Below are 14,081 nucleotides of genomic sequence, written 5' to 3'. Positions count from 1 at the left end.
CACAGAACATATGTTACTTTTGTAATCACCGGGGGTGGAAAAGGAAATGTTTGCTTTTTCAAAATGTTCTAATTTCTCAGTGCTTGATTCAAAGATCTGCCAAGCACAGGGTCTTGGTGCTGAGCTGTGGGGCGAGGAGTTGGGAAAGGGATGGGAAGTGCTGCTGAGAGAAGAGGAAAATGGGGCCGGGTGCCATTACATCACACCTGTAATCCCAACACTGGGAGACCAAGGTGGTAGATCACCTGAAGTCAGGAGTTCAAGACCAGCCTGGGCAACATGGCAAAACCCTGTCTCTACTAAAAATACAAAAATTAACCAGGTGTGGTGGCACATACCTGTAGTTTCAGCTACCTGGGAGGCTGAGGCAGGAGAATCACTTGAACTCAGGAGGCAAAGGTTGCAGTGAGCCGAGATCACACCACTACACTCCAGCCTGGGGGACAGAGTCGGACTCTCTCAAAAAAAAAAAAAAGGCTGGGCACAGTGGCTCACACCTGTAATCCCACCACTTTGGGAGGCCGAGGTGGGCGGATCAGCTATCACCTGAGGTCAGGAGTTCGAAACCAGTCTGACCAACATGGTGAAACCCCATCTCTACTAAAAATACAAAATTAGCTGGGCATGGTGGCGCATGCCTTAAATCCCAGCAACTCGGGAGGCTGAGGCAGGAGAATGGCTTGAACCCGGGAGGTGGAGGTTGCAGTGAGCCGAGATCGTGCCACTGCACTCCAGCCTGGGCAACAAGAGCGAAACTCTGTCTCAAAATAATAAAGAAAAGAAAGTAAATTTTAAAAAATAAAGTGGATCCTGGTACAAGGTTTACGAGGTATGTAAGAATGCCTCCATTATTTTAACTGAACTCTTAAGTTCTGAGAAAACCCAGGCAGGGTCTTAAGGACTTTGTTTTACCTTCTAGCCCTTGCTCGAAGGCCCCAGTTTTTCCAGGTCTTTAATATTTAACTTACGTATTCATCAGAGCTACCACAAGGTGTTGGTGAAGGCTCACTGCTGTGGTTGCACATGGAGACCTAGCCTGCTGTAGGAAGATCTGCTGTTCTCACAGCCGCTTTTCCTTGGGGGAGGTGGATACTTCCCAGGAGGTAGAGTTTTGGGTCAAGACCCAAGGAGCAAGCTGGGGAGGCTTCTTCTCCCCCCTTGCTTCTTGGGTTCCTGGCCCAGAGGAAGGAGCTTGTATGTGGGTTTCTTTTGCTCTCACCTGACTACTTCCCTCTCTCCAGCCCTGTATGCTGGTGGTGCAGGAACCCCCTGTAACTGAGTAGGGATGGCAGGGAAGGGACACCTGGGTTCTGCCAAACTTAGAGGCACTCCCCTTCCCCTGCCAGAGTTCACAAGAAGGGAAATAATCTTAGGGGTGGAGGGAGGGGCATAGGAGTTTCCTCCCCCCATTACCTGAGCACCTCAGCAGGGCCGGGGTGCACAAGTCCCACCTGCCACCCCAGAATTCAGTCTGATATAGGAGGGCAACAAGCCAAGAAGACACACGTAATGCAGCCATAAAAAAAATGCAATCAGCTGGGCGTGGTGGCTCACGCCTGTAATCCTAGTACTTTGGGAGGCTGAGGCAGGAAGAACTTGAGCCCAGGAGTTCAAGACCAGCCTGAGCAACATGGCAAAACCCCGGCTCTAGAAAAAAATACAAAAATTAGCCGGGCGCAGTGGCTCACACCTGTAATCCCAGCATTCTGGGAAGCTGAGGCAGGTGGATCACCTGAGGTCAGAAGTTTGAGACCAGCCTGGCCAATATAGTGAAACCTGATCTCTACTAAAAACATAAAAATTAGCCGGACATGGTGGCGGGCGCCTGTAGTCCCAGCTACTCGGGAGGCTGAGGCAGGAGAATCACTTGAACCTGGGAGGCGGAGGTTGCAGTGAGCCGAGATTGTGCCACTGCACTCCAGCCTGGGTGATGCAGCAAGACTTCATCTCAAAAAACAAAACAAAAATTAGCCGGGCGTGTTGGCATGTGCCTACAGTCCCAGCTACTCGGGAGACTGAGGTGGAAGGATCGGATCACTTGAGCCCCAGAGGTTAAGGCTGCAGTGAGCTATAATTTCGCCACTGCACTCCAGACTGGGTGACAGAGAGAGACCCTGTCCCAAATTTAAAAAAAAAAAAAGATAATGAAATCATGTCCTTTGCAGTAACATGATTTTTTTTTTTTTTTGAGATGGAGTCTCGCACCCGTCGCACAGGCTGGAGTGCAGTGGCGCGATCTGGGCTCACTGCAACCTCCACAATCTCTTTCATATTCTTTTTTTTTTTTTTTGAGACGGAGTTTCGCTCTGTCACTCAGGCTGGAGTGTGGTGGCGCGATCTCAGGTCACTGCAATCTCCGCCTCCTGGCTTCAGGAGGCGTGCGTGTGTGTGTGTGTGTGTATATATATATATATATATATATACACACACACACACACACACACACACACACATTTTTTTTTTTGGACAGGAAGTAGAATTTATTGGTGAGTATTAATAGGGGGGGCAGCACATTGGAAGCCCTCATGAGTGCAGGGCCAGCCACTTGTCCAGAGGGCCACGATTGGGGATGTACTTGACCCCACAGCCATCTGGGATGAGCCGCTTCTCAGCCACCATGTCTTCAAATTCATCAGCATTGAACTTGGTGAAGCCCCACTTCTTTGAGATGTAGATCTTCTGGCGGCCAGGAAACTTGAACTTGGCCCTGCGCAAGGCCTCAATCGCATGCTCCTTGTTCTGCAGCTTGGTGCGGATGGACATGATAACTTGGCCAATGTCAACCCTGGCCACAGTGCCCTGGGGCTTTCCAAAGGCACCTCACATGCCTGTTTGGAGCCTACATTGTGGTAGTGCAAGGTTAGAAACATGAACATCCATCGGAAAGGCCTGTCTCCAAGGTCCCTTAGAGCAACCCATACAACCAACAGGCTGCGTACACTACCAAGGAAGCTGCTGTGTGCAGCCATTGCACACACACATTTTTATAGTTTCTTGGTGGACTTGCCAATTCAGAAAATATCTGTAGTATCAATGAAAGTGAAAAATTCAACAGGTCCTTTGGCCACGATATTCCAGTAATACAAATTTATCCTTGTGCATAGACATCAAGAAGCATCATTAAGTAAAAAAATAGAGTTCTCTGACTCTCTACCAAGCCATTCGCTCGGGGCCAGACCCACAGGCCTCGCCCCGCCTCAACCACGCCTTCATGGCGTAGTCTTCTCCCTGTCTCCGTCCCCCGCTCCCCACCTTCCGAGCGTCTCCATCGCTCCCCAGCCACGCCCTTGGCGCCTGGTCCTGCTGCAGCCTGGTTTCCGTCCAGACCACGACCTCTCGGCTAGGTCCTCGTCGTCAACCCCGCCCCCAAGGTCTCGCCCCGCCCCAGCCCCGCCTTCCAGCGGTTGTCCGAGCCTCTACCCGCCCTAGCCACGCCTCCAAGGCGTGGTTCTCGTCTGCAGCCCCACCTAGGCCTCGCCCCGCTCCAGCCGCGCCTTCCGGGCTTGATCCTCGCCCCACCCCAGCCACGCCTTCTGGACTTGGTCCTCGTCTCTAGCCCCGCCCCCTAGCCGCGCCCCAGCCCCGCCTTCTGGACTTGGTTCCGTTCTCTGGCTCCGCCCCTGAGCCTCGCCCAACTCCAGCGACGCCTTCCGGGCTTGGGCCTCGCCTCTAGCCCCGTCCCCGGGTCTCGCCCCTCCCCAGCCACGCCTTCCGGACTTGGTCCCCGTCTCTAGCCCCGCCTCCGATCCTCGCCCCACCCCAGCCACGCCTTCCGGACTTGGTCCTGGTCTCTAGCCCCGCCTCCGATCCTCACCCCACCCCGGCCACGCCTTCCGGACTTGGTCCTCGTCTCTAGCCCCGCCTCCGAGCTTCGCCTCACTCCAGCCCCGCCTTCTGGACTTGGTCTTAGTTCCCAGTCGCGGCCAAATCACGCCTCAGCCACCTCCCGCAAGCCTCTCACTGCCTCAGCCACGCTTTCCAGGCTGGTTTCTGGTCCCCATCCGCGGCTGGTCCGGCCCTGGGACCGAATCACTTCCCAGCGAGAGGAAGGTCAAATTTCTCGACCGGCTACGGGAAGGTCGCGGCCGCCGCCCTGTCAGCCGCCTCGGCGCCCCCAGGACCCCTCGGGTCTCTTTAACCGGAAGCGGAAGTGCGTGTCGGCGGGATCATGGCGACTTTGGTCGAACTGCCGGACTCGGTCCTGCTCGAGATCTTCTCTTACCTCCCGGTACGGGACCGGATCCGCATCTCCAGGTGCGGCCCCGCCTCCGGGGGGAAGGGCAGGGCGGAGGGCGCAGCTGGCACCTGGAGATGCGATGTGGCCCGGGGCTGGGGTCGTTCTAACCGCGCGTCCCCTCCCCCAGGGTCTGTCACCGCTGGAAGAGGCTGGTGGACGACCGGTGGCTGTGGCGACATGTCGACCTGACGCTCTACACGGTACGCGCAGCTGGCCGGGCGGGCCTGGGCCGCGGTCGCGGTGCCCGGACCCCGAAGACCACCTCTCCCACCCTGGGACTGTGTGTCGGGGCCCGGGCTGGGGATTTAGAGCCAGGCGATCCGGGGCCTATCTCGGCATCATCGCTTACCAGCTCCTCTTCGACCTCAGGGCCTCAATTTCCTCATCCCTGCAATGGGGATAAAGGACAGTACCTGCCTCACGGGGCTATTATGGGACTTCACTGAGATCACGCAGGGAAAGGGCTTAGAACAGTCTGGCACATATTTATCATTCGATAAATGCTAATTTATGACTATGTTATCAAGTTTTTGTTTTGTTTTTGAGACAGAGTCTCGCTCTGCTGCTCAGGCTGGAGTGCAGTGGTGCGATTGCAGCCTCGACCTCCCAAGCTCAAGCGATCCTCTCGCATCAGCCTCCTGAGTAGCTGGAACCACGGGCGCTCGCCACTACACCTGCTAATTTTTTATTTTTTGTAGAGACGGAGTCTCACTATGCTGCCCAGGCTGGTCTCGAACTCCTGGGCTCAAGTGATTCTCCCGACTTAGCCTCCCAAAGTGTTCAGATTACAGGCATGAGCCACAGCAACTGGCTCAAAACATTTATAGATATATTTGTTGCCCTTTTTGAAACTGTCTTCATAGATAATTGCTATTATAAAGTGAATTTGCACCCTTCCTTTTACGTTACTTCATATGTGTGTGTCCAAAAACAATTATAGTGTTAGTAATGTATTTCTGAACTTCGGGTAATGCTGTTCTACTATTTAGATAGTGTTCTACTTTTAAACAATTTTACTGTATATATCCATCTGTAACTCCCTTTAATACAGTTGCTTTTGAAGTTCTTTTTTTAAGGACAGAGTCTTGCTATGTTGCCCAGGATGGTCTCGAACTCCTGGACTGAAGCTGTCCCCCAACCTCAGTCTCCCAAAGTGCTGGGATTACAGGTGTGAGCCACAGTGTCTGGCCTGATAATATGAAACTTTTTCTCAGTTGTTGAAACTTAGTTGTTGGTTTTGCGAGGAAAAGTTGATTCGTCCATTGGTTTTGTGTGCATTTAAAATTTTACCAACTTTAACTGCTACCCTTGTGAGTTACCATTCGGTGGCCACTATTTCTAGTCAATTTCTGCTGACCCACACGGGTCTAAATTTGGCAAGGAAGATTTGATTCCTCTGTCAAAAGTAGCCCATAACATTTATGCTCTGCAGTTTATCTTTTTCTAATTTATTTTTTTGAGATGGATCTCACTCTGTCACCCAGGCAGTGGCAAAATCATAACATACTGCAACCTCCATCTCCTGGGCTCAAGCCATCTTCCTGCCTCAGCCGCCTGAGAAGATTCATTAAAACATGTTTCTTTCTCTCTTGGTTCATGATATGGTTTGGCTGTGTCCCCACCCAAATCTCAACTTGAATTCTATCTCCCAGAATTCCCACGTGTTGTGGGAGGGACCCGGGGAAAGTAATTGAATCATGGGGCCAGTCTTTCCCATGCTATTCTTGTGATAGTGAATAAGTCTCACAAGATCTGATGGGTTTATCAGGGGTTTCCTTTTTTGCTTCTTTCTCATTTTCTTTTGCCATCAACATGTTAAGAAGCGCCTTTCACCTCCCGCCATGATTTTGAGGCCTCCCCAGCCATGTGGAACTTAAGTTCAATTAAACCTCTTTTTCTTCCCAGTCTCAGGTATGTCTTTAGCAGCAGTGTGAAAACAGACTAATACTGTAAATTGGTAGCGGTAAGTGGGGCGTTGCTGAAAAGATACCCAAAAATGTAGAAGCATCTTTGGAACTGGGTAACAGTCAGAGGTTGGAACAGTATGGGGGGCTCAAAAGAAGACAGGAAAATGTGGGAAAGTTTGGAACTTCCTAGAGACTTGTTGAGTGACTTTGCCCAAAATGCTGATAGTGGTATGATCAATAAGGTCCAGGCTGAGGTGGTCTCAGATGGAGATGAGAAACTTGTTGGGAACTGGAGTAAAGGTGACTCTTGTTATGTTTTAGCAGAGAGACTGATGGCATTTTGCCCCTGCCCTAGAGATTTGTGGAACTTTGAACTTGAGAAAGATGTTTTAGGGTATCTAGTGGAAGAAATTTCTAAGTGGCAAAGCATTCAAGAGGTGACTTGGGTACTGTTAAAGGTATTCAGTTTTATAGGGGAAGCAGAGCAGAAAAGTTTGGAAAATTTGTAGCCTGACTATGTGATAGAAAAGAAAAACCCATTTTCTAGGGAGAAATTCAAGCCAGATGCAGAAATTTGCATAAGTAGCAAGGAACCTAATTAGGACCATGGGGAAAATGTCTCCAGGCCATGTCAGAGACCTTCACGGCAGCCCCTCCCATCTCAGGCCTGGAAGCCCAGGAGGAAAAAGTGGTTTCCTGGGGGCCCAGGGTCCCTGTGCTATGTTCACCCTGGGACTTGGTGTCCTGTGCCCTAGCTGCTCCAGCTGTAGCTGAAAGGGGCCAACGTATAACTCGGGCTGTGGCTTCAGAGGGTGGAAGCCCCAAGTCTTGGCAGCTTCCACATGGTCTTGAGCCTGCTGGTGCACAGAAGCCAAGAACTGAGGTTCAGGGCCAGGCACAGTGGCTCACGCCTATAATCCCAGCACTTTGGGAGGCCAAGGCAGGCGGATCACTTGAGGTCAGGAGTTCAAGACCAGCCTGGCCAACATGGTGAAACCCCATCTCTACTAAAAATACAACAAATGCGTGGTGGCGCATGCTTGTAATCCCAGCTACTCGGGAGGCTGAGGCAGGAGAATCGCTTGAACCCGGGAGGCAAAGGTTGCAGTGACTCAAGATCGTGCCATTGCATTCCAGCCTGGGTGACAAGAGCGAAACTCCATCTCAAAAAAAAAAAAAAAGAATTGAAGTTTAGGAACCTCTGCCTAGATTTCAGAAGATGTGTGGAAATGCCTGGATGTCCAGGCAAAAGTTTGCTACAGGGGTGGGGCCCTCATGGAGAACCTCTGCTAGGGCAGTGTGGAAGGGAAATGTGGGGTCAGAGCCCCCACACAGAGTCCCTATTGGGTCACTGCCTAGTGGAGCTGTGAGAAGAGGGCCACTGTTCTCCAGACTCCAGAATGGTAGATCCACCCACAGCTTGCACCATGCACCTGGAAAAGCTTCAGACACTCAACACCAGCCTGTGAAAGCAGCTGGGAGGGAGGCTGTACCCTGTAAAGCCACAAGGGGCGGAGCTGGCCAAGACCATGGGAACCCACCTCTTGCATCAGTGTGACCTGGTTGTGAGACCTGGAATCAAAGGAGATAATTTTGGAGCTTTAAAATTTGACTGCCCCACTGGATTTCAGACTTGCATGGGCCCTGTAACCCCTTTGTTTTGGCCAATTTCTCCCATTTGGAATGGCTGCATTTACCCAATACCTGTACTCACATTGTATCTAGGAAGTAACTAGCTAGCTTTTGATTTTATAGGCTCATAGGTGGAAGGGACTTGCCTTGTCTCAGATGAGACTTTGGACTGTGGACTTTTGGGTTAATGCTGAAATGAGTTAAGACTTTGGAAGACTGTTGGGAAGCCATGATTGGTTGTGAAATGTGAAGACATGAGACTTGGAGGGGCCGGGGTGGAATGATATAGTTTGGCTGTGTCCCCACCCAAATCTCAACTTGAATTGTATTTCCCAGAATTCCCATGTGTTGTGAGAGGGACCCAGGGGAAATAATTGAATCTTGGGGGCTGGTCTTTCCCATGCTATTCTCGTGATAGTGAATAAATCTCAAGAGATCTGATGGGTTTATCAGGGGTTTCCATTTTTGCTTTGTTCTCGTTTTCTTAATTTTTTTTTTTTTTTTTTTTTTGAGATGGAGTCTTGCTCTGTTGCCAGGCTGGAGTGCAGTGGTATGATCTCAGCTCACTGCAACCTCTGCCTCCTGGGTTCAAGTGATTCCCCTGCCTCAGCCTCCTGAGAAGCTGGGACTACAGGCACGTGCCACCACACTGAGCTAATTTTTTGTATTTTTTAAATTAATTTATTTATTTTTCTTTGAGTCGGAGTCTTGTTCTGCCACCAGGCTGGAGTGCAGTGGTGCGATCTCAGTTCACTGGAACCTCTGCCTCCCGTGTTCAAGCGATTCTCCTACCTCAGCCTCCTTAGTAGCTGGGACTACAGGCATGCACCACCACACTCGGCTAATTTTTTTTTGTATTTTAGTAGAAACGGGGTTTTGTCATGTTGGCCAGGATGGTCTCAATCTCCTGACCTCGTGATCCGCCCGCATCGGCCTTCCAAAGTGCTGGGATTATGGGCATGAGCCACTGCGCCCGGGCTTCTTTCTCATTTTCTCTTGCTGCCGCCATGTAAGAAGTGCCTTTCACCTCCTGCCATGATTTTGAGGCCTCCCCAGCCATGTGGAACTGTAAGTCCAATTAAACCTCTTTTTCTTCCCAGTCTCAGGTATGTTTTTATCAGCAGCATGAAAATAGACTAATACAGTTTGTATTACATGGGTATATATATGCATGTATAAAAGGCAAATGTAAGCATGCTTTCTGAAGGATTGATGATAAGCTATTTTCTTCAGTGAATGGAAGAGTTTGATGTAGAAACACCTTTTTGGCCGGGTGCAGTGGCTCATGCCTGTAATCCCAGCACTTTGGGAGGCCGAGGTGGACAGATCACTTGAGGTCGGGTGTTTGAGACCAGCCTGACCTACATGGAGAAACCCTGTCTCTACTAAAAATACAAAATTAAGGCCAGGCGCGTGGCTCATGCCTGTAATCCCAGCACCTTGGGAGGCCAAGGTGGTTGGATCACGAGGTCAGGAGATTGAGACCATCCTGGCTAACATGGTGAAACCGCGTCTCTACTAAAAATACAAAAAAAACATAGCCGGGCATGGTGGCATACGCCTGTAGTACCAGCTACTTGGGAGGCTGAAGCAGGAGAATTGCTTGAACCTGGGAGGTGGAGATTGCAGTGAGCCGAGATTGCGCTACTGCACTCCAGCCTGGGCAACAGAGCGAGACTCTGTCTCAAAAAAAAAAAAAAAAATTAGCCGGGCATGGTGGCACATGCCTGTAATCCCAGCTACTCAGGAGGCTAAGGCACGAGAATCGCTTGAACCCAGGAGGCGGAGGTTGCGGTGACTGAGATCGTGCCATTGCACTCCAGCCTGGGCAACAAGCAAAACTCCGTCTCAAAAAAAAAGAAAAGAAAAGAAACACCTTTGTAAGCACACATAAAGAATATGTTATTAGACAATTTTCCTTTTTCCATTAGGCCCTATGATGCCAAGTAGAGAAATCCAGCAATAAAAGGCAGATGTAAGCATGCTAACTTTTTCTTTTTAAGATAAACTGTACTTAGAATGAAATGCCCAGTGCTATCAATTATATATATTTTTTATTTTCTACTAAGTCTAACTTCCCAGGGTTGATTTTTGCAGCTTCCACTCTACCAGGCTTTGATATATTTTTTTTTTTGACATGGAGTTTCGCTCTTGTTGCCCAGGCTGGTGCAACGGCACGATCTTGGCTCATCGCAGCCTCTGCTTCCCAGGTTCAAGTGATTCTCCTGCCTCAGCCTCCCAAGTAGCTGGGATTACAGGCGTGCACCACCACACCTGGCTAATTTTGTATTTTTAGTAGAGACGGGGTTTCTCCATGTTGGTCAGGCTGGTCTTGAACTCCTGACCTCAGGTGATCTGCCCGCCTTGGCCTCCCAAAGTGCTGGGATTACAGGTGTGAGCCACCGTGCCCAGCCTTTTCATTTGTTGTTTTTTTTTTTTTTTTTTTAACATAGACCTAATTTACTCTGGGTAGTTTTCGGCTTTTAAAATTTTATTCTGTGTTGCTTATTTCTACTGGAGGTGATCATTAAGAAAGGGGTAAAATATCAATGGGTTGCTCTGCTCTTTTTCTTAGTCCAGAAAAAACGGTAAAAATTTATTGCTAAAGATAGATTCTGTTAGTATCTTTTTTTCCCCTACCAGATTTATCTTTTTTTTTTTTTTTTTTTTTTTTTGAGACAGAGTCTCACTCTATCGCCCAGGCTGGAGTGCAGTGGTGCGATATCGACTCACTGCAACCTTTGTCTCCTGGGTTCAAGTGATTCTCTTGCCTCAGCCTCTTGAGTAGCTGGGATTACAGGTGCTTGCCACCACGCCCAGCTAATTTTTGTATTTTTAGTAGAAACATGGTTTCACCATGTTGGCCAGGCTGGTATTAAACTCCTGACCTCAAATGATCCATCCACCTCAGCCTCCCAAAGTGCTGGGATTACAGGCATGAGCCACTGTGCCCAGCCCCTACCAGATTTATTCTAAGTGGCCGAGTGCAGTGGCTCACGACTGTAGACCCAGCACTTTGAGGGGCTGAGATGGGAGGATTGCTTGAATCCAGGAGTTGGAGACCAGCCTGGGCAACATAGCAAGACCTCATCTCTACTAAAAATCACAAAAATTAGCTGGGCATGTGTCAGAAGTCCCAGCCACTTGGGAAGCTGAAGTGGGAGAATCACTTGAGCCTAGGAGGTCCAGGCTGCAGTGAGCCATTATCTCACCACTGCACTGTAGACTGGGTGACAGAGCAAGAACCTGTCTCAGAAAAAAAAAAAAAAAAAAAGATTTGTTCAAAGCCCTAGCAGGCAAGATGGTGCACTCAAACCATCTGGTTGAACCTGGGGAGGTTGAACCTGGGGAGGAGACTGGCTAGGCAAGGGCAGAAGCCCAGCAGGGCACCAGAATCCCCCACCCCGGGGTTGTGTGTCTCCAGCCCAGCAGGGGCCTTGGAAGCTCCATACCTCTCACTCTGTCACCCCAATCTCTGGCTCTTACAGATGCGACCTAAAGTCATGTGGCACCTCCTTCGAAGGTACATGGCATCCCGGCTCCATTCCCTGCGGATGGGTGGCTACCTGTTCTCTGGCTCCCAGGCCCCCCAGTTGTCCCCTGCTCTGTTGAGAGCCCTGGGCCAGAAGTGCCCCAACCTGAAGCGCCTCTGCCTGCACGTGGCCGACCTGAGCATGGTGCCCATCACCAGCCTGCCCAGCACCTTGAGGACCCTGGAGCTGCACAGCTGCGAGATCTCCATGGCCTGGCTCCACAAGCAGCAGGACCCCACCGTGCTGCCCCTGCTTGAATGCATCGTGCTGGACCGCGTCCCCGCCTTCCGTGACGAGCACCTGCAGGGCCTGACGCGCTTCCGGGCCTTGCGCTCGCTGGTGCTGGGTGGTACCTACCGTGTGACCGAGACAGGGCTGGATGCTGGCCTGCAGGAGCTCAGCTATCTGCAGAGGCTTGAGGTGCTGGGCTGCACCCTGTCTGCCGACAGCACCCTGCTGGCCATCAGCCGCCACCTCCGAGATGTGCGCAAGATCCGGCTGACCGTGAGGGGCCTCTCTGCCCCTGGCCTGGCTGTGCTGGAGGGAATGCCGGCCCTGGAGAGTCTGTGCCTGCAGGGTCCCCTCGTCACCCCAGAAATGCCCTCCCCCACTGAAATCCTCTCCTCCTGCCTCACTATGCCCAAGCTCAGAGTCCTTGAGCTGCAGGGGCTGGGGTGGGAGGGTCAGGAGGCGGAGAAGATCCTGTGTAAGGGGCTGCCCCACTGTATGGTCATCGTCAGGGCTTGCCCCAAAGAGTCTATGGACTGGTGGATGTAACTACTCCACCTGCCCTTGGGACCCATCCCAGTTTTCATCATTGAGCCCCAGACCCTCTGAGCAGCACCTTGAAGAGGGCAGATAATCAGACTTGAGGAAACTGAAAGCCCCAGGTTGAGAGAACAGAGGCCTAGGGACCTCCAGACCATTGGAATCACTGTTTGCCAGCTGTGTGGCCTTGGTCATATCATCAGCCTCTGGGAAGCCTAGTTCCCACATCTGGAAATAAGGATGATCATAGCTACCTCACGGTTACATTGCAAAGCCTTACTCTAAAAGCTCCCAGCCTCCAGAGGCTCTCAATGAAGAGTCACCTTCATGGTCGTCTTCAGGAACAGGACGGATGAAGAAGGGGTGGGGTTAAGACTCAGGGGCACCTGAGGGTCTGAGCCCCCTTATGAGTACCCAAGAAGGACTGTCTATGCATGCACACCCACAAGCCTATACACCATTTATATACCTACACGCACGCAAGAGACGCGGAGAGATAGGCGATGCAGACTCGCGATTCAATGATCGATATGCTCATAAAAGTGCTCAATTATATTTTCTGTATTTTGTATGCTGTATTTTCCAAGACGTATATTATTTTACTATTAAAGAAAAAAATCATTTTTTTTTCCCGAGAAGTATTCAGTTTATTCATTCAACCAATCTTTCTTGAGCTTCTGCTATTTTGCAGGCACTGTTCTAGGTTCTGGGAAACTGGGCCACCACAGTGAACAAAACTGACAAGACCCTGCCCTCGTAGATCTCATAGAGGAGAAGACAGGACAACAAACAGGTAAGCCAGTCCATGCTTTAGTTTTTTTGTGTGGGGACAGAGTCTCACTCTGTCACCCAGGCTGGAGTGCAGTGGTGCGATCTTGGCTCACTGCAACCTCCGTCTCCCGGGTTCAAGTGATTCTCCTGCCTCAGCCTCCCAAGTAGCTGGGATTACAGGCACCCGCCACCACGCCCAGCTAATTTTTGTATCTTTAGTAGAGATGGGGTTTCACCATGTTGGTCAGGCTGGTCTCAAACTCCTGACCTCGTGATCTGCTCACCTCGGCCTCCCAAAGTGCTGGAATTACAGGTGTGAGCCACTGCGCTCGGCCACCATGTTGTAATTTTGGAGACTCTGAGCCAGTACACCAGGGTCACGTGATGGAGGCATACTTGCATGGTTGAGTGAGCACGGTAGGCCTCTGTGCTGAGATCTGAGAGGTGAAGAGAAAGCAAAGATCAGAAGAGCTAGGGCAGAAGAGGAAAGGCCAGCACTGCTAAGATGAGAATGAACTTGGCATTTTCCAGAAACAGAAAGAAGGTTGTGTGGCAGAGTGAGCAGGGGTAAGAGCTGTCGAAGTTGAGGTCAGGGCCGGGCATGGTGGCTCACATGTGTAAACCCAGCACTTTGGGAGGCTGAGGTGGGTGGATCACTTGAGCCCAGGAGTTTAAGGCCAACCTGGGACATCTGAGGCAAGTGAATCACTTTGAGTTCAGGAGTTTGAGACCAGCTTGGGCAACATGGTGAAACCCTGTCTCTACAGAAAAAATTAGCCAGGTGTGGTGGTGTGCATCTACCCAGCTGGTATCCCAGCTATTCAGGAGGCTGAGGTGGGAGGATTGCTTAAGCCTGGGACTCGGAGGTTGCAGTGAACTGTGATCACCACTGCACTCCAGACTGGGTGACAGAGTGAGACCCTGTCTCAAAAAAAAAAAAAATAAAACAAAAGGAGATAATGGGGACAGGAGTGGGCAGGGCCTTGCAGGTGGCTCAGGCTTTAGGGGTTCAGTAAGTAACACCACCTTTTCCTGCCTTTCGAGTCTGAACCACTTGAAAGATGCAGGTGTCAGATTATAAGTGTGAGTGCCTACCCGTGAGATGAGCGTTGCTGTGTGTGGCTAAGCCCCGGCTCTGTGGGTTCACCACCTGCTCAGCAGGCCCAGGTGCCTCCTCTGGTGCTTAGAGCCAGGTTGGAGAAGAGAGCTGAGCTGGGTACACTTGGTTTCTTA

The 14,081-nt window shown here is 50.8% G+C and overlaps 1 protein-coding gene, 1 non-coding gene and 1 pseudogene across 10 annotated transcripts, besides 3 other annotated features; 1 reads left to right on the top strand and 2 right to left on the bottom strand.

The window, feature by feature from the left end:
* Nucleotides 2,464–2,841, bottom strand: RPL10P15 (ribosomal protein L10 pseudogene 15; annotated as a pseudogene).
* On the bottom strand, nt 2,888–3,028 carry LOC124900430 (small nucleolar RNA SNORA70). The gene has a single exon (XR_007067385.1). It is a non-coding gene; the product is annotated as a small nucleolar RNA SNORA70 (small nucleolar RNA).
* Nucleotides 3,342–3,491: a silencer, noted in NCBI's record as "silent region_10046". NCBI's record gives its function as "represses an Ori minimal core promoter by ATAC-STARR-seq in GM12878 lymphoblastoid cells {active_cell/tissue: GM12878}" and the evidence as "EXISTENCE:reporter gene assay evidence [ECO:0000049][PMID:35858748]".
* Nucleotides 3,712–3,801: a silencer, noted in NCBI's record as "silent region_10045". NCBI's record gives its function as "represses an Ori minimal core promoter by ATAC-STARR-seq in GM12878 lymphoblastoid cells {active_cell/tissue: GM12878}" and the evidence as "EXISTENCE:reporter gene assay evidence [ECO:0000049][PMID:35858748]".
* Nucleotides 3,903–12,712, top strand: FBXL12 (F-box and leucine rich repeat protein 12). Of its 9 annotated transcripts, none has more exons than NM_001316939.2 (4): nt 3,903–4,228; nt 4,365–4,437; nt 9,708–9,751; nt 11,265–12,712. In NM_001316939.2, exon 4 carries the CDS (start codon nt 11,265–11,267, stop codon nt 12,084–12,086), a length of 822 nt encoding a protein of 273 aa, NP_001303868.1. In that variant the 5' UTR covers nt 3,903–4,228; nt 4,365–4,437; nt 9,708–9,751; the 3' UTR covers nt 12,087–12,712. The 9 variants fall into 9 exon arrangements, with proteins under 9 accessions (NP_001303868.1, NP_001303871.1, NP_001303867.1 ...); NM_001316942.2 differs by lacking the exon at nt 9,708–9,751 and adding an exon at nt 8,313–8,410; NM_001316938.2 differs by having other exon boundaries at nt 3,903–4,254.
* Nucleotides 4,252–4,411: a silencer, noted in NCBI's record as "silent region_10044". NCBI's record gives its function as "represses an Ori minimal core promoter by ATAC-STARR-seq in GM12878 lymphoblastoid cells {active_cell/tissue: GM12878}" and the evidence as "EXISTENCE:reporter gene assay evidence [ECO:0000049][PMID:35858748]".
* Nucleotides 12,713–14,081: the final 1,369 nt, after the last annotated feature.

The sequence above is a fragment of the Homo sapiens genome, chromosome 19, assembly GCF_000001405.40.
Source record: "Homo sapiens chromosome 19, GRCh38.p14 Primary Assembly".
Classification (NCBI taxonomy): Eukaryota; Metazoa; Chordata; class Mammalia; order Primates; family Hominidae; genus Homo; species Homo sapiens.
The sequence above is the reverse complement of the archived record's forward strand: the minus strand, read 5'-3'. Positions and strand labels throughout refer to the sequence as shown.